Here is a 25,935-nt window from a genome sequence, read left to right on the forward strand (position 1 = left end):
CTGCATATCTAACATGACTAAAACAACTTTCAAATTATATACTGACAACTAATGACATATTTTCTATGAATAAATTTCTACTATTACCATGTAATAAAAAGTTAACTGTCTTTTTCCTTCCTTTTTCCCAAAGAACTTTTCAAGAAGTGACATTCAAATGCATAAAAAGCAGTACTGGCAAAACTTTACTGTCCTTAGGTAGCACTGTGAATACAAAATAAATTTCAGTTCAGGCCGGGCATGGTGGCTCACACCTATAAATCCCAGCACTTTGGGAGGCTGAGGTGGGCAGATCACCTGAGGTCGGGAGTTCGAGAGCAGCCTGACCAACATAGAGAAACTCCATCTCTACTAAAAATACAAAATTAGCTGGGCGTGGCGCTGCACGCCTGTAATCCCAGCTACTTGGGAGGCTGAGGCAGGAGTTCAGCTTGAACTTGGGAGGTGGAGGTTGCAGTGAGCAGAGATTGTGCCATCGCACTCCAGCCTGGGCAACAGGAGTGAAACTCCCTCTCAAAAAAAAAAAAAAAAAAAAAAAGCAGCACAGAAAATTACTTTTGATTACATTTAGCCAACTTGGTTACAATTAACTACTCTTAGTTTTTAAAGAATTAGTCCTCTTATGCTACCAAAGGCTAAAATATTACTTATCAATGTTGAAAATAAGTCTTAAATGCCCCCTCCAACCATATCAACCATTTTGGTTAAGAATCTCCTCAAAGATCTCTCTACGTTCACTAGACTTGGAAAATCAAAAATAACAATTTTAGTTTACATTTTTGAAAGGAAGTGATAATTGGTAGGAAATTACATTTTTTAATGATGATTATTATGTCAATACGCAGTTAGTGATTTCCTTTATTAACAGATGCACTCAAAAGATCAAGATGATATTAACAAACAGTAGCACTAATCTAAGCTCTGAGAAGTTTACTAGAAGCAAAGATATAAAATCAACTGCCAATTTCCAGTAAGCAATGGATGGCAGGGCATTAACATCCCGGAGAAGGAAAGCTATAAACCCTAGGCACAGCAACTAAAAGGTGTTCTTTCAGCTGGGTCTAAGCCAAAGTTCCTTGTATGCTGTACAATTTTCTGTGACCCAAAGAATAATCTAATATAAACAATTTCTAGACTTATATAAGTATTAAAATCCAACACAGAAAGTAGTTTTAAAGGAGCTTATTGACCTAAGTTTCCTTGAGTAAGAACCTTCTAAAATTCAAAGCTAAATTACCAACTCCTATTTTAATGTCTTTAACAATTAGGGTAAGATTTCTATATAAATTTGTGGCAATTCTTAACATATATAAAAGAGAAGCTCAGTTTTTAAAAAAAAATTTTCACTCAGAATATGATCCTGTCCAAAGAGATAACATTAAAAAGTCCTCACTTTTCCATATTAATCAAATAACTCATGGAATATCTCTAAACTTCAATACAAGAGGAATGTCTATGATCAATAATCAAGAAGCCTATGTTATGGATTGGCAAACTACTACAGGCTTGGGTTCAAACCTGACTCTGCTGCCTGTTTTTTAATGGTGTGTGAGCTAAAAATGGTTTTTACATGTTTATCTTTAATTTTGCCTCTTAGTCACCAAAGCCTAAAATATTTACCATCAGCTCCTTTAAGAAAAGGTTTGCAGACCCCACGCCTATATCATTATTACTCATGATACCTAACCCTCAATGCTAAGGAGACAACTTTTAAATGCATATCCCCAGCCAGCCCCAACCATCACACTAAGCTTTCGCAATCACTAACTACCCTCTAAGCATTTTAAGATTTTTCACCTTCCTTGTCAAAAATTCTATTATAAAATTAATCTGTCAGATGAATCCCTATCTTGATTTGTTATCTTTTAATGCTATCACCATGCTCTCATTCTGCAAACACTTATTTTTTGACTCTTCACAAACTCCCCACATTCAAATCCTTTCTTACTTTCCATTCTTTCTCTGCACAATGGCTCTTGTAGTCTTAGCTCCTTTTTCTCCGTTTCTCCTAAAATGTAAAACCCTAGTTCAAATGCTTTTCTCCAAATTAGACCTATATAGTCAATTATTAATTGGTGTTCCTAAATTTAATTCCACTCCCTCAAAATGCATTCTGAATACTACCATCACTTCAATTTACATATCAAACAGTATGTTTATAGTATTACTCCAAAAAACCTTCAACAGCTCTTTTTTCTAATGCTACTGCTTTAGTTTCACAAACAAGCCATTTGCCTATCACTCTCACAATTTTTGCTGCAGTTGCACATTAACCCTCTGTCTTAAGGTACGATAGTTGAGAATACAGGTCCTGGTCAGCTTGCCTGGAGTTAAACCCACCACTTATTAGCTATGAAAACCTCTCTATGCCTTTTTAGCCTCACATATCAGGTGAATACAACAACAGTATTTAATAGTTCACTGGGTTCATGTAAAGGGTAAGTGAGTTAATATATATAAAACATTTTCACAATGCCTGATAAATAATGAGCCATCAATAACTGTTAGCGAGTCTTTTTTTAACATTTTTTTAAACTCAAATACATTTAGTTAGGATAAGCAATAGCCATTAAGTCCTGAATTTGATGTGCTACCTATATTTTCTTAATTTCCATTAACATAAATACATAATGATTAAATTAAAAACATTGTGTACCACTTAATATATTTTACCCACTTTGGAAATAGTGACCTATAGAATAAAAAGTTAAATGTCTTTGAATAACACTTATAATTTACTGCTATCTGATCCCAGTACTTTCTTGCATCCAACTCAAGAATGCTCTATTTCAAACAGTGTCCTCAAAGTGGGCATTCTTGCCATCAGGAATATCTTTATAATCACTTCACCTTTTCCCCACTTCCAAACACAGATCAGACTCTATTTCTTTCAAGACCTTCCTGTATAAAATCGCTTCTTTTGTTTTTCAATTATTTCATGAACTAGACTTCTTGTTTACTCAGTGCAGCTCACTACAACACAGCTGCTTCTTTAACATTGCAATTATTTTTCATAATAGTGCAGAGAAATCAAAGAAAATGGGTACTGAGAAAAGACAAATGGATGTGGAAATCAGGAGGTCACCACTGACATTAAAGAATATAGGGCCGGGTGCAGTGGCTCATGCCTGTAATCCCAGCACTTTGGGAGGTTGAGGCAGGTGAATCACCTGAGGTCGGGAGCTCGAGACCAGCCTAAGCAACATGGAGAAAACTGGTCTCTACTAAAAATACAAAATTAGCTGGGTGTGGTGGCGCATGCCTGTAATCCCAGCTACTCAGGAGGCTGAGGCAGGAGAATCGCTTGAACCTGGGAGGTGGAGGTTGTGGTGAGCCAAGATGGTACCATTGCACTCCAGCCTTGGCAACTAGAGCAACACTCCGTCTCAAAAAAAAAAAAAAAAAAAAAGAAAGAAAGAAAAAAAAATTAGCCAGGCATGGTGGTGCACACCTGTAGTCCCAGCTACTCAGGAGGCTGAGGCAGGAGAATTGCTTGAACCCAGGAGGTGGAGGTTGCAGTGAGCTGAGATTGCACCGCTGCACTCCAGCCTAGGTGACAAAGCGAGACTGTCTCAATAAAAAAGAATACAGAAATAATATTAGGAATTAGATTTCAAGGCAGTAAGAAGAGTGGATAGTGACAGAATAGAGACAGTGGGTATGGAAAACTTTTTCTTAAAATTCAGCAGTAGAAAAGAAAACACAAACAGGCAAATAACAGAGCAAGAAAAAGTAAAGGTTTTCTTCAAGATTGAGAAAAACTCAAGGTTGAGAGACAGAGGGAAGCAACCTGTGAGTAAGGACAATTAGATGAAGTGTCAGAAATAACTAGAGGCACAGAATGAGAGGGGCTACCTCTCTTCATTGAAGAGGAAATTAAAAATACAAATAAATACTACTATCCCCTAATATGGAGAAGAGGAAAATAAGAAAATTCACATTTACATATTTTTAACTTCTACAGGAAAATAAGAAACGAAGCTAACCATTAGGAGTGACAGGAGTACATGGAAGGAAAAAAGGGAAAAGATTTAAAAATCACTTTTTAAGGAGTAAGCAACAGAACAAATAGGACACAAAAATGATCATGGAACAGTGAAGATCCATTTGTTCTAGATTTTAAAAGCGGGTGAATGACACATTTAAAAGTTCTCAAAGTAAAAACTAAATTAAGTACTACTTTGATCTTCATATGATCCTTCACTGGTACTGATCCCTTTTAGCACCTAAGAGTTGTATTTAAAAAGCAGACAACTATAATTTACTCAAATGTTACACTCTACACATTCAATTGTGAACTAAAAAAACTTGATATACAGAATGAAATTATAGACAAAATTTATGTACAAATCCTAGGCAGAAATAAGCTATGGAAACATAAAACCAACCAAAAGTAATCTCTCATTCCATAATTCCCCAAGGTACTTGTTACTTTGTTCTTCCTGGCATTTATCACAGCCACAAGAAACTCAACTACAGGAGCCTAGGAAAAAGTGAAATTTTAAATATTTTGTTATCTGACATAATCTAAACATTCTGGAACTTTTTACCACTATTAACACTGAACTGTAATGTAATACAGTGATATGAATGGATTATGTCCAAATATATAAGTCTGCTTAATTTCATTAAGATGGCTATGATTTTTGCATTGTGCCTGCTTTTTGTCACTTTCTGGTCTTTTTCCTTAGTATCAGGTTATTGTAATCCCATGAACTCCCTAGCATATCTGCAGAACAAACACATTTATACCTAATGTGCTCCTTCCAAACTTCTATGAACTTGAAAACAAGATAAAAAGGTTTGCTAAAATGTCAGCACATATGCTTTAAGATCTGTGCCTTGGCTGCATATAGATGTTTTATTTGTTGGGGGTAGTACCAAGTTCTCAGACAAACTCTTTCTTTGTGGCTCTCAGGTAACCTACACGGAACAGGAAAGGCGCTTAATTCAGCCTCACAATAATAAATACGTATATTTTGTCTTCTTCATAAAGCTAGTGAACCTTGTGGGAACAGGGACCATTATGATTTGTATTAACAGGGCACCTGGAACAAAGTCTGGCACTTAAGATTTCAACAAATCCTTTAATATATCATATTGAAGTCAACTAAATGGCTAACAATCATTTTATTTCCCAACATCATCAACAAAGTAAGTTGTCCCAACATTTTACCTTAAGTAAGGTTTTTAAATTTTAAGCAAAGTTAAGTCCTAAGGCCACAAAAATTCTGCAAGAAACCTCAAATGCTATAAGTAAGGAACAGACAGTAGATGGCATGCCTCTCTTCAGAGCAGTTAGGCCCAAGGTTAAGATATGCTAGTATTGCTGAAAGGTTTTTTTTAAACTCAAGATCTTGTCCTCAAACAGTTACTAAACTTCTCAGGGTATATTTCAAAAGAGCAGGGTATTAACCTTAGCTCTTTGGTCTAATTCTAAGTCTGGTAATTATATGCTGCCTATTAAAATTCCCCTTGGAATCCTAATTTAATAAGGTGGTGCTCAGTACCTGTCAAACAGCTCAGAGCAATGCTACTGGCTGCAATGTTTATCCCACAGAGTGTAACATTTCAGATGTGATTAAATGATCATTTAGAATTTTTCAGGGAAGAAGGCAATCATGAATTCATTAAAATACTTTTCTACTTAAAAAGAATATATAATTCATATTTTTAAAAAGTAGCCAAAATTCCTATATCTAAAAATGCTGGCCGGGTGCAGTGGCTCACGCCTGTAATCTTGACACTCTGGGAGGCTGAGGCGGGTGGATCACTTGAGGTCACAGGTTCAAGACCAGCATGACCAACATGGTGAAACCCCATCTCTACTAAAAATACAAAAATTAGCTGGGCATGATGGCATGCCTGTGGTCCCAGTTATTCAGAAGGCTGAGGCAGAAGAATCACTTGAACCTAGGAGGCAGAGGTTGCAGCGAGCCGAGATCACGCCACTGCACTCCAGCCTGGGCAACAGAGAGAAACTCTGTCTCGAAATAAATAAATAAAAAATAAAAAAATAAAAATGCCACAATGAACTTTAGTTATATTCTTGATGAGTTCTACTTTGGCTATTATAAGCATGACAAAAAAAAACTTTTCAAGTATATCAACTTTTTAAGCTTTACAAAAAAACTCAAAGTTCACAGGCCCAAATTAAGCAGCAGCTCTTATACTTTCCATCCAAAACCTGAGAAGACTAGCATCACCATCTCTCCAATCTACAAATACAAGAACTAGGGAGGATGACAATGAAACATCAGGGAGATGAACAAGGGCAAAATGAAACTAAATAGGAGTGTACAGCTATTAAATTCCAACCTTTAGCTGGCACCATATTAAAAAGGCACCCTGGCAACTATAATCCTTTGCAGGGAATTAGGGTAGAGGAACAGGACACAGCAGCATAGAAACAGAGTTTCTGTTCAGAAATAGAATAATCTGTACAGAAAACTGTACAGACACTTTGAGATCGTAAAACATATCTTAAGGCTATGGATAAAAATATAAGTACAGTCCTAGGCAGAACCATTATCCTTTAGAATTTATTCTATGATTCTTTAAAACAAAACGAAACAAGAAACTTTTAAGCATTTCAATGTGTCTTAAACAATGATCCTAAAGTAGTTCCATCATTTTGGCATACCCTAACCACAGGCTCTGTAGTCAATACATTACTAGCAATTTAAAAGGACAGTTTCTATTAACTGTAAATGTTTTTTCCCATCTATATATTGTTTGTAAAAAAAAAAAAAAAAAACTATCATTGTTCAGAATATTGACATCACTTAAGAAAAAAATTAAAAATAAGAATAAGAATTACAAATAACTAAGAAAATACCTTATAACTATGAAAAGTCCAGGGTCCTTCAAGGCAAAGAATACACTTCCACCACTGACCACCCCCAAAACAAAGAAAATCAATTTAAAATCAAGGAGCCAGGAAGACTACCTTTCTCTAGGGGTTGGCAAACAATGTAACAATTTCATCAACTTCATCATAAGACATTATAACTGACTATAAAAAGCAAGCAGAAGAGAAGTATTTATTTTGCCCAAAATGACAAAGGTATAGCCAAATTAAATGATTCTCCTTAAAGAAGAAAAAGTGTAACTGGGGGAAAAAAAATACAAGCACCTTACACTTTCAAAAAAATAAATTATCAAAGACTGTAAGTTTTGTCTTTTTTTAAAAATAGTAACCTAGAGGTATAATATTAGAGACTTGCAATCTATTTCAAAATCTTAGGGCTAAATGTGTTTTGGAATTTTGATATATATTTCCCAGATTTAGAACTACTACTTAACAAACCCCAACATGGTCCAGGCCACACACAGTAATCAAACATAACTATATTTCTGCAGTAAAATATACAAATATTTGAAAAAATACCCTCATTTCAATTCAGATCCAGATCTGCTTATCCAGGAAGTTAACATCAGGTCAGGCTTTGTGGCCAATTTCTGTTTTTAGAAGTGTGGATACTGAATAAAACACTGTGGGCTTGAACTGAAAAAAACTTTACCTTTAGCTTAAAAACAGTATATCATACAAAAATTACTTACTAACCCTTAAAGTTTACAGACTTTGACAGAGCAGCAGAAATTATATTTTAAATATTTTCTATAATAAATTACACAATCTGTATTATAGTAGCTTAATTCATATGTCCAAAGAAAATCAAATGAATTGTTTTATGACATGAATTAAAATGCATTCATATTCAAAATGGTAAATTTCTTCCTTTATAGTACTTTCTAACTAAAAAAAAACCACACAATTATTTCCACTAGCTAATAAAATCTTGCAATTGCACTGTAATTGAGCACTGTCAGGGATGCAACTAGCTTACAAGGACTCATGAAAATCTGGACACTGGGGTAATGGAAATTCAGCAACTGAACAAAGAAATTCTCCATTTTTTTCTTTTTCTGTTGTCTTATGGTTTGGAAAAAAAAGATACGGGTTTGTAAGAGCAATCAGAATGCTTATTATAAGTTTTATGTTCTGTTGAAAATAGCAAAGAATAGTGGTGAACAGTCTCTGGAATACCCAGTTAGGTACTCAAAGTCCAGCTCTACCATTAAGTTGCTCTGTGACCTTAGGAAGTTATATAATGCTCTGTGCCTCAGTTTCCTTATTTACAAATGAGGGAAATAATGGAATCTACCACACAGAGTTGTTAATGAGAATTGAATGCTAAGAAAAAATAAGTAAAAAATAAACTTAGTGATAGGAAGAGCCACAGGAAGAACAGATAAAGAGGGAAACAAGTGATATTAGTCACTACTGGCAATGTTAATGAAGTATTACCAATCAATAATTTGTGATATTAATCACTTTTTAAACCCAGACTGGCTTAATGTAGGTTTTTAAAAAATACAACAAATGTTTATTTTACATTTTATTAATTGAAATACCATGAACTAGCATCTCTATCCCTTTATAATAATAATCATTATCTGAACTTACTTCTGTAAACTACTAAAAACCTCAAAAACATTTTTTTGTGAAAAATTCTAATGAGTAGTTTGCATGTATGGTTAGCATTCAGTAAATAAAAATATTTGGTAAGTCAAAATGTCTAATTCCCTGATCATATCAAATAGCCCAGCCATCAAACATGGTTCTAGAAAGAAACCACTTCATTTACTACACAATCGGAAAAAGTACTGGATGTGACCTTACCTATCTTCATCTTTGTCATAGAGTTGGTAATAATCTCCACAGCCATTCCAAAAGGTGTTATCCACCTCTTGCCTTCCTGCTGTGGCTCCACTTTCTGATGTCATTTGGTTATTTTCTGTTTCCCTTTGTGTAATAACTCTTGAGTATGGTGGATCCAAGAACATACAGTCATGCTCTCCATCATATTCTTCACATTTTATTAAGAGGTCATCTGAGCCACTTTCCTCAACTTCCAAAGCCTCTCTCCATCTTTGAACACTTCTTTGTTTCGCCTCATGCCTATTAAAACCTGTTTCTTGGTCCACCTGGCTTGAACTTATCAGTTTTCTAACTTTTGGCCTCACTACCTGTTCAGGAGAACTTCCATGGTTCTTTTCCCTATCATTGGTATTTTGTTCACTACAAATATGCCCTGGACCACAGGCTGCATCTTCAGGTGAATGTTCTGTCTGTCTTTCCTGGCTAGTATTATTTTGTTGTTTCGTACTAACCATTTCATCTTGAGAAGACCTCTGAATTTCCTGGCTATTCTGATGGACAAACTCAGTATCACCAGCAGAACTTTTCACTAATGGTACAGAATCTAACTCTTCAAACTCATCTCTTACTTCACAGTTAAATGAGGGAACTGGTGGTGAAAGACCAGTGTATGCCTCTGCCTCTCTGTTTTCCAACTCAAATACTGTATTGCCTAATGATTCCTGGTATCTACTACCTTCCACGACTTCTGCAGAAAGTTGAAGATGGTCATTATCTTCTCCATGTTTGCCATCTGGATCATAAGAGTCTGTATGAACCAATGCAATTCCATTTTGGACACTTGAAGCACTACAAGCTCCTGGAATATACTCTCCCTCAGAGTGATTATGAAGATTTGTACTGCTTCCTAAGGTATCCCTGCCTTCCTCACTGTGATGTACTGCAACAAAGGATTGACTGCTCTCAGTGGTTTGATTCAATGCTGAACCACAAGTGGGAATTTCTGTTTCACTTTTTTCAAATATAGGTTCACTGGGTAAAGAAGAATCAACTTGATCCAAAGGACTGGAACCTTCATAAAAAACAAAAGAAAACATATTTTAAAGGATTAACTTAGATAAAATTTTATGTAATAACTATCACTTAAGTGGAAATCATACCAATTATTACTACTTGAATACATGAGTAAATTTATTTACCAAGCACTTCTATGCTCCTTAACTGAGAATGCAGACTGATTACTCTATGAGTTCATTTATGTCAATGTACAGCCTTTCACTATCATCTCCCTCACATGGCTTTGGCAGTTTTCTATCTAAATCCTAATATCTAATGCCTTCTGCAAGACATATAAAGGAGAAGCTCTTGAGAGGTTATACAATGGGAAGCCTCTCGTAAGTGGAGTCTAGGGTAACCAATCTGCTTCCCAGTGATTTCCAAACTTACCTTCTTTATTATATGCAGGTAAAAACAACAACAAAACAAAAAACCTTCAAAAGTACTTATGACAGATATAATAACTATAGTTACAGATTTAAGAGAAATTAGACCCTATTGTGTTTTGTTGGCAATTCACAAAATTATATCTCAGTATCTCGACAGATTATAAATTGAATTGTTGTAATACATTTGTAATAAGTTTACTTTAGATGTGTTATAGTTATGACTGAAAAACAACAAAGAGATCAATATGTTGATTCTTGTCATAATTGTGAGAATTCTGAAACATGAGTAAAATCATATCTATAAATTACTTTAAGCATAACTATCTTGCATCACCACTAATAAAAAAAATGAAGACATTTGAGATTTGCTGGAATAAAAATTCATGAATTGTAAAATAACTGAAGTTCGGCCATGATATATGGTACGAAGGGTTCTTTGATATATGGTACGAAGGGTTCTTTTTTTTTTTTTTTTTTTTTTTTTGAGACGGAGTCTTGCTCTGTGGCCCAGGCTGGAGTGCAGTGGCATGATCTCGGCTCACTGCAAGCTCCGCCTCCCAGGTTCACACCATTCTCCTGCCTCAGCCTCCCAAGTAGCTGGGAACGAAGGGTTCTTCAATGGGATGACCCTAGCTAGTAATTCAGATTCTTACATATGACAGCAAAAATAATCTAGAAATGTCTTGTCAAGTTTGCTTAGAACAAGAGGAAGAAGACAAATCCAGTCCAAAAATGTGCAATTATGGTACATGGATAGCTGCAAAATACTTTTTCAAAACCATTGAATAACTAAGAAATTTTAATTGAATAAGCCTTCCTTGTCCTTTGGATTTTGTAAAATGATGAAAAAATAAACAAGCCAAGTTAAATTTAGGATAAAATTAAAAGAAGAAAAGTTGGCCGGGCACAATGGCCCATGTCTGTAATCCCAGCACTTTGGGAGGCTGAGTTGGACGGACCACTTGAGGTCAGGAGTTCGAGACCAGCCTGGGCAACATGGCAAAACCCCATCTCTACCAAAAAATACAAAAATTAGGCGTGGAGGCGCATGCCTGTAGTCCCAGCTACTTGGGAGGCTGAGGCAGGAGAACCACTTGAACCCAGGAGGTGGAGGCTGCAGGGAGCCCAGATCACGTCACTGCACACCAGCCTGGATGACAAAGTAAGATTCCATCTCAAAAAAAAAAAAAAAAAAAGAACGCCAGGCATGGTGACTCACACCTGTAATCCCAGCACTTTGGGAAGCCAGCCAAGACAGGTGGATCACTTGAGAGGTCAGGAGTTTGAGATCAGCCTGGCCAACGTGGTGAAACCCTGTCTCTACTAAAAATACAAAAATTAGCTGGGTGCAGTGACAAACACCTGTAATCCCAGCTACTAAGGAGGCTGAGGCACAAGAATTGTTTGAACCTGGGAGATGGAGGTTGCAGTCAGCCAAGATGCACTACTGCAGTCCATCCTGGGCAACAGAACGTGACTCCATCTCAAAAAAAAAAAAAGAAGAAGAAGAAAAGTTATTTAAATATTATATGCAGGGAAAAAATATCTCTACTTGATCCACATTTTTAAAAATTTCAAAATATATCTTTTTGATTCAAAGATGATTTCCTTTGGCTGGAGGTTATGACAACGTAATCACTACTATGAGAGTGTGGTTATATTTTAATGATTGGCTGTATTCTATTTTCTTCTACAATGTTTAAATATATACACCATTAATATTAAATTCAATAAGAATTTCAAAATAGAATTTCTTGATAGGAAGTGTGCTGCATTTACACTCACAGACATGCATAATACCCACCCAAAAATTTAATTATAAGATCAATTCCTATATAACTATTAATAACCTTTAAATAATTAAATGTTACACACCTGAGGAATTTTCCTTTGGAACATCATCTAGTTCCAACACTTCATAGTCATCACCAGCCCGACCTAAGCTTCTTTCATGTCTGGTCATACATGGTTTAAAACTGACATAAGCATGTCTTCTTCCATATCTCCTGCCTGTAATTGTCTGATACCCTCCTGCTGGTTTGGGCCAGACAGCCTTACCAGATTCTTGGTCCATTGCTGAAAAAAAAGTTAAAAAATTAAAACAGGAACAGCAATGAGCTTTATTCTTGCAACCTGTTGGGGAAAACTACTTCAGTTTATATTTTATTATTTATCAAATCATATGCTTCTGAACATGAAGTGTACCTTACTAGTACTATAAAACATTATTCTTCACACACTAGAAAATTAAATATGAAGTACTATATAATAAGAGTTAGTGGCCTTTTCCCTTCAAAAAATATGTTTTAAAATTTGGTTTCTTTAAGGTATTTCAGATTTTTATAATGAAACCTATCAAAAAATATTTTTCATATGCCAAATTATTATACTGCCAAAGCTCTTTATGGGAGATCTTCCAAATTAAGTACCTTATATATTATATTAATATAAGTGCTCAATACATATTTGATGAATCAATTACTAGCATTATGATATGATGGTTTCAATTACTTTAAGAATGAAAACATTTATGTCAAAGATAACAAGTAACCTCTTTAAATGGTATCTGTACCATGAAGAATCAACTAGATCACAATAAATATGTTCCAAAGATTAACGTCAGATAAAACTATCCAAAAGAAAACAGCAATGAGCCAGGTCAAACACATACTACCCTGCCTTCAAAACTACCAATAAATGGTATATGTTATGGTAAGAAAAGCCATCAACATTTACATGACTTGACAATTAAGTTTTGTTGACTGAGGGGTATACAGTAGTAAACAGCAGCAACTTTCACTAAGTAGTACATTATTATACACACACATATATATATTAAGTGTAAGTCTGCTTAGTCAATTATACATTACATGTACTACACAGCAACTAAACAAAATATTTTCTCACAGCATATGGTATAGTCAATAAATGCAACAGTTGCTGGGCATGGTGGCTCATGCCTGTAATCCCGGTACTTTGGGAGGATGAGGCAGTCGGATCACTTGAGGCCAGGAGTTCGAGATCAGCCTAGCCAACATGGCGAAACCCCGTCTCTACTAAAAATACAAAAATTAGCCAGACGTGGTGGCACATGCCCATAATTCCAGCTACTCAGGAAGCTGAGGCATGAGAATCACTTGAACCCAGGAGGCGGAGGTTGCAGTGAGCCAAGACTGTGCCACTGCACTCCAGCTTGGGTGACAGTTCGAAACTCCATCTCAAAAAAAAAAAAAAAATGAATAAATGAATGAATGAAACAGTTACATAATTTCTTAGTTGTATTAAAATAAGAAATATAATCACTTCCAAGAAGGAAACAGAAACAAACATGTATTTATAATACACGCACATATCGAGTATAAATAATATCAAGTGTTACACTTATTTAATCCCATCAGTAATCTTGAGGTGGATATTGTATTCTATTTTAAAAATTGAAAAATTAAAGTTAAAATTAAGTGTTGGATAACTTGTCTAATAATCCAAAAGTATGACTCCAGAACCAATGCCCTTAACAATTCTACCAAAAGAATAGTCTCCGAAGTGGAAAGCATAAAGCTTTCCAAGCTAAATGGGTATGGAAAGAAAATACCAGAATTTCTATTTTTACCTATCAAAAATTAGAAACTAAGCTTTACAAATATTCAATATATGGATCAAAACCAGCCTTTTAGTAAGACCACAGGTCAGATGATCATATGTCACTTACTGGTACTCAAGGTACCCAGAGGAAAAAACAAGAAGTACTCAATGTAGAAGAACTGACTTTCCTTACCTGCTGGCTCCTTTTCAGTGTACTGTGACATATATGGCAGCGTCTGTGTGACCAGTTCAGTAGAATTATAGATGTGATTTAGTTTTTATTCACACTATGGACAAGCCGCAGAAGATTCCTACAAAGAAACAATGAATTGAACAATATATTAATAAAAGCACAAAAATAGCAAAACTGATACTTCTGCTCCTCCTAGTGAAGTCTTATAATAAAACTTAGAAAAATACAATGTGATGTAGCCAGCATGGTGGCAAATGCCTGTGATCCGCCTTAGATTACAGCACTTTGGCAGGCCAAGGCGAGCAAATCAGTTTGAGCTCAGGAATTCGAGAACAACCTGGCCAACATGGTGAAAGTCTGTCTCTGCAAGAAATACAAAAATTAGCCAGGCGTGGTGGTGCACACCTCTAGTCCCTCAGGAGGCTGTGGTGGGAGGATTGCTTGAGCCCAGGAGGTGGAGGCTGCAGTGAGCCGAGATCATGCCACTGCACTCCAGGCCTGGGTGACAAAGTGAGATCCCGTCCCAAAAATAAATAAAAACAAGAAAAATACAACACAATTTGACAAGCCAATCAAAAACTCTCAGAAATACCAAAATGGCTATGTGAAATACAGATTTACATCTGCTCTTGATAAACCTTGCCTAAGTATATATCATCCTTAAGACTGTCAATGACAACAACACATACATAATTTGTAAGTAAACAAACAAAAATATCAGAAGTACTGACTCAGGTATGTAACCAAACTATTTGGGAGTCTACTACACTGTGCTATCATTGCTTCTCTGTCAAGCAGTAAAGTTCCTTTAGCCCTGGAATTGCTAAAAGGTAACTGTAAGAATACAAACTTCATTTTTTAAAAATGTGTAATGGCTTATAACAATAATTAATGTGTGTAAATAATGATGTATTTATTCTTTGCAATAGTCAGTTGATCAGATAATTTAATCCCAAATAAGAACCTATTTTCAATCAGGAAAAACTACAATTTATCATGGAACAAATACAAAAAGAACTTCTGTTTTGAAATTAATGCATTTATTTACTATTTGAAAAGTACTATTTGAGAAGTTGCAACCTGTGGTTTTTTTGAAAGTTTGGTTAAGTTTTTATTTAAACACCTTATTTATTTAAACACTTGAGCTACTGCTAATTGCTCATCATTAATGCAATAGCTCTGCAAATGAGTTTAATTTATATGTTACCTGTCTAATCACAGACAGATATATATTAACATACGTAAGAGTACAAACCCACATTCACCCATATAATTTATAAATTCAGTAACAAGTTATGATCCTTTAAAGTATCTGAATCAAAAGAGGCTGTTAGCAACAGCTAAAGAGAAAAGGAATATAAAAATAATAATAATCTTAACATACTGGCAAAAACATAGGTGCTAATTAACAGTGTTTTAACTTTTTTTTTTTTGAGGGCGAGTCTTGCTCTGTCGCCCAGGCTGGAGTGCAGGGGCTTGATCTCGGCTCACTGCAACTTCCACCTCACGGGTTCAAGTGATTCTCCTGCCTCAGCCTCCCAGTAGCTGGGACTGTAGGCGTGTGCCACCATGCCCGGCTAATTTTTGTATTTTTAGTAGAGACAGGGTTTCACCATATTGGTCAGGCTGGTCTCAAACTCCTGACCACGTGATCCACCTGCCTTGGCCACCCAAAGTGCTGGGATTACAGGCATGAGCCACAGTGCCTGGCTGAAATGTGCGTTTTATTCTGAGATGGAAAACCATCAAAGTTCTGACCACAGAAGAGATATTTGACTTCTGTTTTAAGAAGAATGCTCTGGCTACTGTATTGAATAGCATGAAGAGGAATGAGGTCTAAAGCAGGGAGCACTGTTAAAAAGCTATCAAAATAATACTGGTAAGAGATCATAGTGGTTTGGACCAGGGTTAAAATAAAGATGGTAAGAAATGACCAGATTCTGGACATATTGTAAAAATACAATCAACAAAATTTACTAATATAGGATATGAAAGAAGGTCGAGGTTGACTCCAGGTTTTACAGGCTGGGCAATGGGAAAAATGGAGTAAATTTCAATTAATGTAGGAAAAATTGTGGAAGAGCCAGATTTGAAGAAAATATATTCAGTTCAGTTTTGGATGAGTTAAGTTTGAGATATCTATTAGACATTCAAATGGAAATATTAAATAGGAGTCTGGTGTTGACTGAAGAATTATGAGCTGTTAGTATAATTTGGGAGTTGTCAGTGTATAGATTATACCAAAACAGGTATGAACTTGGATGAGATCTCTAGGTGTACATGGAGAAGTGAAGTTAAGCCCTGAGAAAATCAAATATGAAGAGGCCAGGGAAAAAGAAGCAGAGATTGAGTATCCCTTTTCCAAAATGCTTGGAACCAGAAGTGCGGATTTGGGATTTTTTCAAATCTTTGAATATTTGCATATACATAATGAGATATCGTGGGGATGACATCCAAGTCTAAACAGAAAATTCACTTGTTTCCTACACATCTTACACACACAGTCTGAAAGTAATTTTATACAATACTTTTAATAATTGTGTGCATGAAATAAAGCTTCTGTTAAGTACTGATGTGTGGAATGTTAAAATTATGGTGCCATATTGGCAGTAAAAATGTTTCAGATTTTGGGGCCAGGTGCAGTTGCTCACACCTGTAATCCCAGCACTTTGGAAGGCCAAGGCAAGCAATCACCTGAGGTCAGTGAGACTCTGTCTCAAAAAAAAAAAAAAGTTTCAGATTTTGGAACATTTTTCAAATGTTAAATTTTTGAATTAGGGATGCTTAACCTATAGCAGAAAAAACAACAGAGGGCAGTGAGAGAAAAGAAAAATACTGAAGTGTGAACACCAAGTGAAGAAAGTGTTTTAGGCAGAACTGATCGTGCCAAAAGTTAAAGTATGATGAAGGCCTATCACTGACCACTTAGCAACATGGAGGATAATGGCGAATGGCGGCACCTTTGGTAGCATGGTTGGTGCAAATGCCTGATAGGAATGCTACTAAAGAGAGGAAAGGAATTGGAAACAGTACAGAAATCATGGAAATCACCCTGTTTCTTAAACTTTTCTTTAATGTGATTCCACTTTTCTTCTTAAAGATACTCTTCGGAGCCGTCTAACATCCTGATCTAAATTTAGTCTACGTGTTTTCAAGGGCTATTAATCAGCTACTTCTGTGGAAATCTTTTGATTGTACTACCCGCTCAGGTTAAGTACCCTACTTTGAATTCCATGTTTTTATCATTTTTTTTTTCCCTTTACTGGAAGATCCTCAAATAATGGTTTCAACAAGTATATGTTGGAGGCAAACACTGAGTCCTTGGACATCTGAAAATACTATCTCCCTCATACTTTAGTACAGTTCAAGACAAAATCATTTTTTCTAAACTCTGAAAGGCACTGTGTCCTACCTGTCTACCTATTTATCCTCATTTTGTAGAAACACCAAATTTTTCTGTCTGGAATATTTAGGGTCTATCTAAATAGCTGGTATTCTATAATTTCACAAAGACTTGTTTGGGGCAGGCCATGTTTAAATTTTTCCTACACAGCACTGGAAGAGCTATTTTAATTTAGAGACTCTTGTACACGTCTCAAATACATCTTTTTCCTCACTACTTTTTCTTTATTTGGCCCAAATGGGTTAATCATTTGTCTCTAAACTTTTCTTTCATATTTTCACTCTACAGACTGGGAGATTTCACTCATTTTTACTTCTTTCCCTTAGCCTTTCCTTATTCTCTTAGCCTGTCATTACTCTCTGTAACAATCTTTTTAATTTCTCATACTTTCTTATTCTGTGATTATTATTTAATAGTAGTTCTTGTGTTATGAATATAGACTAGAATCTCTCTGTAGATACTAATTATTTCTACTTAATCCGAGACCTCTATATTCCGTCTACCACTTTCTATCTCTAAGTATAAAAAATAAGAAAAAAAGCAAAACAGGGAAGAGATAAGTAGGGAATAAAGACCATAGCTAGGGTCAAGATTAAAATGATTAATCAGTCCAAATTTGTAGCTAAGGTAAATTGGGAACACCTAGTTTTTCTCTAAATAGACATTTCCTTTGCTGATTAGTTGTTTCCTCCAGGTACTATTCACCTAACATGTTTATAACAGACTGCTCTCTACTTGTGACAATTAGTCACTTCAAACAATTCGGGGTTTTTACATACTTCTTACTAATACTAAAACAAATATATAAACGTGTTGCTAAGAATTAAAGGACTCAATCAAGGACGTATTAATTTCTGGATCTCTGAATTATTAACCTAGAAGTAATCACTTTATCATTTCAACCAGGATATTATGCCAACAGATCTGGACAGACAATAGGAATCATCTTTAAAGAATGCAAGGAAGAACATGGACATGTAAGGTACACTTCTCACAGTAAACTAGTGAATTTAAAGACAAAGGCCTGTTTATTTTTTATTTACATACACTTTGTCTAGTACATTGTCTGACAGTATATTTAAACAGTTACTGAACAAACGAATGAATGAATGAGATAATTCTGTGCTCCTTTCTCTGATGGAAATGTGGTCACATAATGGAAAAAGAGGGCTAAGTATTTGGGCACACATGGATTCAAACTTCATTTAGGCAAGTTAATAAACTGCTCTCAGTATTAGAGCCCTCTCTTGTGACTTGTTTCTAATGAAGACAGTGTGATGGATGTGACTGTGTGTGATGTGCAAGAATAGGGTAATAAAAGGATTGTGGCTTCCTTAATTTCTCTGCTCACTCTTTCTGGAAGAAACCAGCTGCCACATCATGATATCACTCAAGTAGACCCACAGAAAGCCCACATGGTGAAATACTGACCGTTCCTGACAAAATCCACAAAAACTAAGGTCTTCCGGCAACAGCCACATGGATGAGCAACCTGGAAAGGGTAATGCCCTAGTGCATTACCCTTCAGATGACTGCAGTCCCAGCCTACATTTGACTGCAACCTCTTGAGAGACTTGAACCAAAATCAGCAACCAGGCTGCTCCTGAATTTCGAACCCACTGGGACTATGTGATGATAAATGTCTGAGTTGCTATGTCCACTGCAGGACAACAAGTTACTCTACTCTCTTATCCTGCAACAGGTAACAAATACAAACAATGTAAATTAAAATGAAGATTTAGGCACAGGGAGACAAAAATCAGCTAAACTTCCAGAAGAAGGGTTTCAACTGATAGCGTGGATCTACACCCTTATGACTCATCTGCTGGGAGCCAGAAATAACTCACTTTTAAAGTATCTTTTCTAGAAAAAAAAGGTTGAGAATCAAATACAATTTGATCCTTACTTGAAGGAAAAGTCTTGGTTACTCTTCCAAGTCCATTAGAATATTTTTTATTCTCTCATATTTATATTTACATATATGCCTCCAAAATGCCCTAAAAACATTTAAAATTCCTCTTAAATCAGTCTTGTATAATTAACTTACCCTGCATTTCCTTTTAGTGAATGAATTCCTTAGACACACGGAATTTTGATAATTTACACCTATTATCACAACTGAGATATAAATTAAGAACTACAAACTTTATGACAAAATGCATTTATGACAAACTATGACAAATGTTATTAGAAAGCTATTTTACATTCCCCAAACAAATCCATGTTGGTCACAATACATTAACCCTTTTATATCTCACTGGATTATTCTTTTACCTATGTTCATGAGAAATATTGGCTTAAAATAGTCTCGTCATGCTTTTGTCAGGTTTTCCTATCAAGATTATACTAAAGTCATAAAATATGCAAATAAATCTTTCTATCTTCTTCTTGTTCTCTAGAAGAGTCTGTGTAAACCCAGGATTATATCTTACTTAAATGTAAGGCAGATTTGTCAGTGAAGCCATCAGGTCTAGGATTTTCTTTGTGGAAAGGTTTTTGATAAATTCAACTACCTTAATAGACACAGAACAACTCAGATTTTCTATTTCTTTATATGTCAGCTGACTAAACTGTGTTTTTCAGGGATTATGACCTTTCATTCAAGTTGTCAAATGTATTATCAAGTTGTACATAATTCCCTTTCATTAACAATTTAATATAGAGAGGATCTGTAGTGAAGTCTCTTTTTTTCATCCCTGTTACTAGTAATTTGTGTTTTCTCTCATTTTTCTTAATCAGGTCATTACAGGTTTTCATTTTTTAAAAGTTTTCTTAACTAACTGACTGTAAAACTTTCCTGTTTCATTGATTTCTACTTTTATACTATTTCCTTCTTTCTACTTCCTTGGGTTTAATTCATTGCTCCCTTGAGATAGGAGCTTAGACTACTGATTGTAAACCTTTGTTCTTTACTAATTTATACATCTAAAGCATAAAGTTACCTCTAAGCATTGCTTCAGCTGTATTCCAAAAGTTCTGATACGTATTATTTTTATTATTTTTCAGATTAAAATGTTTTCTAATTTCCACAGTGACTTTGTTTTTCATCCACAGGCTACTCAGAAGTGTCTTGCTTAATTTCCAAATATTTGCAGTCTATTTTTTTTTTTTTGTTATTGGGTTGTAATATAATTCTATAGTGATCAGAAAACATGCATTGTATGATTTAAATTCTTTGAAGATTAATGATACTACTTTATGACCCAGAATATTTTTGCACATGTCCCATATGCACTTAAAAATAATGTAAAGCCTTCAGTTGTTGAATATAATGTTCTATAAATGTCAATTAGGTTAAGTTGATTAATCATACCATTCAAATTTCTTATTCCTTTACTAAAACTTTTTTAAATCTTATTGTTCTACCAGTTACTTTGAATGTATTTAAAATCTCCAGCTAGGAATACAGATCTACCTTTCTTTTTAGCTATTTTAGCTTCTGTCTTACATATTTGGAAGCTGTGTTACTATGTGAAAACATATTTAGAATTATGTCTTCTTGATAAATTGGCCCACTCATCATGATTTTTTTTTCTCTTATCTCTCATAACACTTCTCTCCTTAAATCTATTTTGTCTGGTATTAATATAGCCACATCAGCTTTCTTTTGGTATTTGCAACAATACTGATTCCATCTTTTCATTTTACCTGTGCCTTTACTTGTAAAGTGCTTTTCTTATAAATAGAATATAGGTAGGTCTTACTCACTTATATATAATGTCTGATAATCTTTCTCTTTTTGTTAGAATATTTAATCCATTCACATTTAACATAATTACCAATGTAGTCTGGTTTAAATCTACCATCTTGCTATTATTTTCAATCATCTCACCTGTCCTTTGTTCCTTTATTCCTCCGTTCTTGAATTCCTTGGTAATTTTTTTTTATTATTCCATTTCATCTGCTAGCTTTTTTGATACATCCTTTAAAATATCATTATCTTAGTGGTTTTCCTAGAAATTACAAAATGTATCCTTGATGTATGCTGGATGATATTTCCTAGAAGCTCTAAATAACTTACCTTTCTCTAATGAGTATTTTAAGTTTTCTTTTGGCAGGCAATTATATTGCAAGTAGATTGTCTTAACATCACAGAAGTCTGGTTTTGGTTTATGTTTGGGCAAGTCCATTTCAGCTTGTCCTTATATCAAAGTGTAACCTACACTCTTACTGTCTACTTCAAACTACAGATGCTCCTGGACTTAAAATGGGGTTACGCCCTGACAAATCCACTGTAAAATGAAAATATTATTAAGTTGAAAATGCATTAAAGACCCTACTAAACCCATTGTAAAGTTGAAAAATCATAAACGAAACCAGTTGAGCACTGTCTGTAGTTCTTTTACCAGGTCCCCAAAAAATGAAAGAAACTCACATAACAGTTTAACTCCTCCATGTCCATGGTTGTTATCTTCATATAGCTCACCCTACATGTAAGCCCCACCAAACATTATCAAGACTGTTTCAAACACCCAATAATCTTCAATATCCCTTTCTGAAAATGTCTACTTATTCCATTTCCATGCCTCCATCTGTCTGATGTTCCTTTAGCCTAAATAACATATTTTAATGTTTGTTATGAGTCTGCTGGTGACAACTTCCCTCTCTGCTTCTGTCTGTCTAAAATTGTCTTTGTTTTTGAAGGATATTCAAATGAGAATAGTATTCTACATTAGACACCTTTTTTTTTTCTTTTTTGGAGCACTATAAAGATGTACCCCTATTGTTTCCTGGCTTCCACAGTTTCCATTAAGAAGTCCATGTCATCTGAGCTGAATACATATACTCAAACACCTACCAAGTGAGTGTGCTTGTCAGTGAATTAAAAATGAGAGAAAATAAAAAGTTTAAGAATTGGAAAGGAAAGAAAAATCTCATTATTCACAGATAACATGATTATATATGAAAAAAAAGGAAGAAAGTACCTACAAGTAAAGTTCTATAGTGATAACTTTTAGATGGTTGACAGATACAAAGTCAATATAAAAATGTATTATCACATTCCAACACATAGCAAGAAAACTAAATTTATTACTAATATTACCTTGAAAGGATATCGTTTACAAGAGCAACTATAAACATCAAATCCCTAGAAAGAAACCCAATGAAAGATGCAGAATATTACTCACAGAAATTTTAGAAGACATAACTACGTGAAGAAAAATCCCATACTCATTGGCTTGGAAGATTCAGTTTTATGAATTTCAATTCTCCTTAAATAATCTATGGGTTAAATGTAATCCTAATAAAATCCCAGCAGGCATTTTTTTGGGGGAAAATTGACAAGGTGATTCTAAAATGTAAATAGGAGTGTAAATGGCCAAGAATAACCAAAGTTATCACTAAAAAGAACAAGGTACAAAGAGGTAACTCTTTCAGAAGACAAACCTTAAAAACTTATGATAATAAGAGGCTTGTTAGGGAATAGGCAGACAAATGTATCAATGGAATAGGATAGAAAAAGTGTCAAACAGACCGGGCATGGTGGCTCTTGCCTGAAATCTCAGCAGTTTGGGAAGCCGAGGCGGGTGGATCACTGGAGGCCAGGAGGTGGAGACCAGCCTGGCCAATATGGTGAAACCCTGTCTCTACTAAAAATACAAAAATTTGCCGCGCATGGTGGTGCACACCTGTAGTCCCAGCTACTCGGGAGGCTGAGGCAGGAGAATCACTTGAACCCAGGAGGTGGAGGTTGCAGTGAGCCAAGACTGCCCCAATGCACTCCAGCCTGGGCAACAGAGCAAGACTCCATCTCAAAAAAAAAAAAAAAAAAGTGTCAAACAATAGAACTTTATGTGATGATGAAATTCTGCAGTGTTCAAGCCTATATTAATTTTAATCTTCAACAGCCACATGTGGCTAGTACCATATAGGACCAACACAGGAACAGAGTCCTGAAACTGATACACATTACATACAATTGACTTATGACAATGCTACATTACAGAGCTCTAGGGACAAGATACGTTTTTTCACTGAACACACTACATTAATTGGATACTGATGCAGAAACGAAATCCGGCCTGTTTCCCACAAAATGCAAAACTCAATTCCAAAAGCAATGTAGATCTAAATGTACAAGGCAAAACAGTAAATCCAAAGAAAGGAGAAATCTTTACAATGTTGGAGTAAAGAAAGATTTTTTTAAAGCAGGCAACAAAAACTAAAATTTCCTAAATAAGGGGCCAATGAACTGCAAAATGGAATTTAAAATTTCCATTCATAAAAAGATACCATTCAGAGACTGAAAAGGAAATCCACAAATGAGAAAAGAAATGTACATTACATACAAGTATCAAAGTGCTCACATATAGGATATATAACATACTCCTAAATATAAAAAAGAATAAGATAATCCAAAAGAAATGTGATAACCTGCTGAGACGCACTCCAGAAAAGGTTACCCAAATGGCTAAGAAACATATGAAAAGGTATCAATTTCATAAACTGGCTGAAGTCATAAATTAGAACAAGTTATCATTACACACCGGAGATAAAAATTAAAATATTAACCATATCAAATGTTGGTGTGGATGTTAAGCAACTGGATGTTAGGCAATTTTCATATTACAGCTGTAAATATACATCTCTGCATTCATCTCAGAAAACTTTTTGGAAGCACCTAGTAAACCTGAACATATGCATATGATATGGTTAAGCAGTCCATCTTACAAATGCATACCAAGACATATAAAAATGTTCAGCTACAGTCCCACTTATATGGCAGGCTGTTGAGGGTGACTGCCCTAGCCCAGGAGTTCGAGGCTGCAGTGAGCTATCATCCTAGCACTGCATTCTGGCCTGGGCAACAAAGCCAGACCCCATCTCTAAAAAAATAAAGAAATTAAAAAAAATGTTCATAGAAGCAATGTCCATAATAATTCCAAACTGTAAACAACCCAAATGTTCAACAGCAAAATGGGTGAATATAACAGAATATATTTGTAGGCAGAATACTACACAACAAAAATGAACCATAGCTACCCACAACAGGAGTATTACAAACACAAATGGATCTCACAAAAATGAATGAAATGAAAAACAGCCAAATACAAAAAAATTCATGCTGTATGTTCCATTTTTATAAAAGTTCAAAAACAAGCAAAATTAATCTGTGGTGTTACATACCAAGAGAGAATAATCACCTTTTCTGGAGAGGAGGATGACAAAATGCTGAAGACAAAAAGAATAAGGTATTATAGCAGAAGGATGTGCTAGTAACATTCTAATTCTCTTTTTTTTTTTTTTTTTTTTTTTTTGGAGACAGAGTCTTACTCTGTTGCCCAAGCTGGTGTGCAGTAGCGCAATCTTGGCTCACTGCAACATCCGCCTCCTGGGTTTAAGCAAATCTCCTGCCTCAGCCTCCCGAGTAGCTGGGATTATAGGTACCCGCCACCATGCCTGGATAATTTTTGTATTTTTAGTAGAGATGGGGTTTCACCATGTTGGCCAGGCTGATCTCAAACTCCTGACCTTAAGTGATCCACCCGCCTCCGCCTCTCAAAGTGCTGGGATTACAGGTGTGAGCCGCCATGCCCAGCCACATGCTAGTTCTCGACTTGGCTGGTGTTTATATTGACTTCAGCCTGTGCTAATTTACTGAAGTTACACCCATTTTTATAAGCACAGTGCAATAAAAAGCTTTAAATAGTCACTGGAAGAAAATATATTCAAGTGTTAAAGTTGTATTTCATTTTGGGTCTGTGAGTGATTTTTATGCCTTCCATTTTTTGTTTTCCAACTTTTCTTTCACACACTTGTGCTCCTTTTGTAATTGGCAGAAAAATGTTTAATCACTGTGTTAGCAACAGGTTTTTATGGACCACTGAAAACTAGGCTGTCTAAGACACTTCAGAATGCAAAAACATGCAATTAATTATTAGACAAAAATATAAGGTGTGAAGTGGAATTATCCTGGGAAACCTAGGACATGAGATCCTTCTTCTAACCACACAGATAAACATTAGAGAATAAGAAACACATATATAAAACAAGATCTCATGAAAATTCAACTTCTCAATTTCTGTTTCTAACAGTATGGCAGATAAAAATTTTTTTTTAAACCTCACAACTCAAAGCAAATAAAAATGTCTTAACTCTGGGTAGGGGGTGAATAGTAGAAAAGAGGAGGAATATCTCGCCTAACAATTCAAAGCCACAACTCAACCTCATTAGATTTGTGGCTGCAATTCATACTATCTGTATGAGCCAACAAGCCAGAAAGTCAGAATATTGTTAAGTCTTAGGGAGCAGTGTTCCAAGTACCCGGCAGAAGCAAAGCTAATTCCTCCCAGTTGAAAGTCACCTCACTCTCAACCCAGGTCAGAATTCTCACATGTAAAATTTCAAAGAATATGAACTCACAATAAAAAGTGTAACATACATGAGAAATAACGTTGACAAGAATTAACAAAATAAAAATATAACTTAAAAGGACAGCACTAGGCTGGGCCCAGTGGCTCATGCCTGCAATTCCAGCACTTTGGGATGAAGAAGGTGGATAGTTTGAGCCCAGGAGCTCAAGACCAGCCTGAGCAACATGGTGAAAACCCATCTCTATAAAAAATATAAAAATTAGACGGGCATGGTGGCGTGTGCTGTAGTCCCAGCTACATGCGAGGCTGAGGTGGGAGGTCACGTGAGCCTG

At 35.4% G+C, this 25,935-nt stretch overlaps 1 protein-coding gene across 1 annotated transcript in view; it reads right to left on the reverse strand.

Annotated features, from left to right (window-relative positions):
- PJA2 (praja ring finger ubiquitin ligase 2) overlaps positions 1-25,935 on the reverse strand; it is a 75,253-nt gene that overhangs the window by 34,796 nt on the left and 14,522 nt on the right. Inside the window, exons 2-4 of the mRNA NM_014819.5 lie at positions 13,886-14,003; positions 11,986-12,186; positions 8,687-9,737 (exon numbers count right to left, since the gene is read on the reverse strand). Coding sequence (NP_055634.3) covers positions 8,687-9,737; positions 11,986-12,186; positions 13,886-13,916 — 1,283 coding nt within the window. The 5' untranslated portion in view covers positions 13,917-14,003. The remainder of the gene's footprint in view (positions 1-8,686; positions 9,738-11,985; positions 12,187-13,885; positions 14,004-25,935) is intronic.

The sequence above is a fragment of the Homo sapiens genome, chromosome 5, assembly GCF_000001405.40.
Source record: "Homo sapiens chromosome 5, GRCh38.p14 Primary Assembly".
In the NCBI taxonomy this organism is placed as follows: Eukaryota; Metazoa; Chordata; class Mammalia; order Primates; family Hominidae; genus Homo; species Homo sapiens.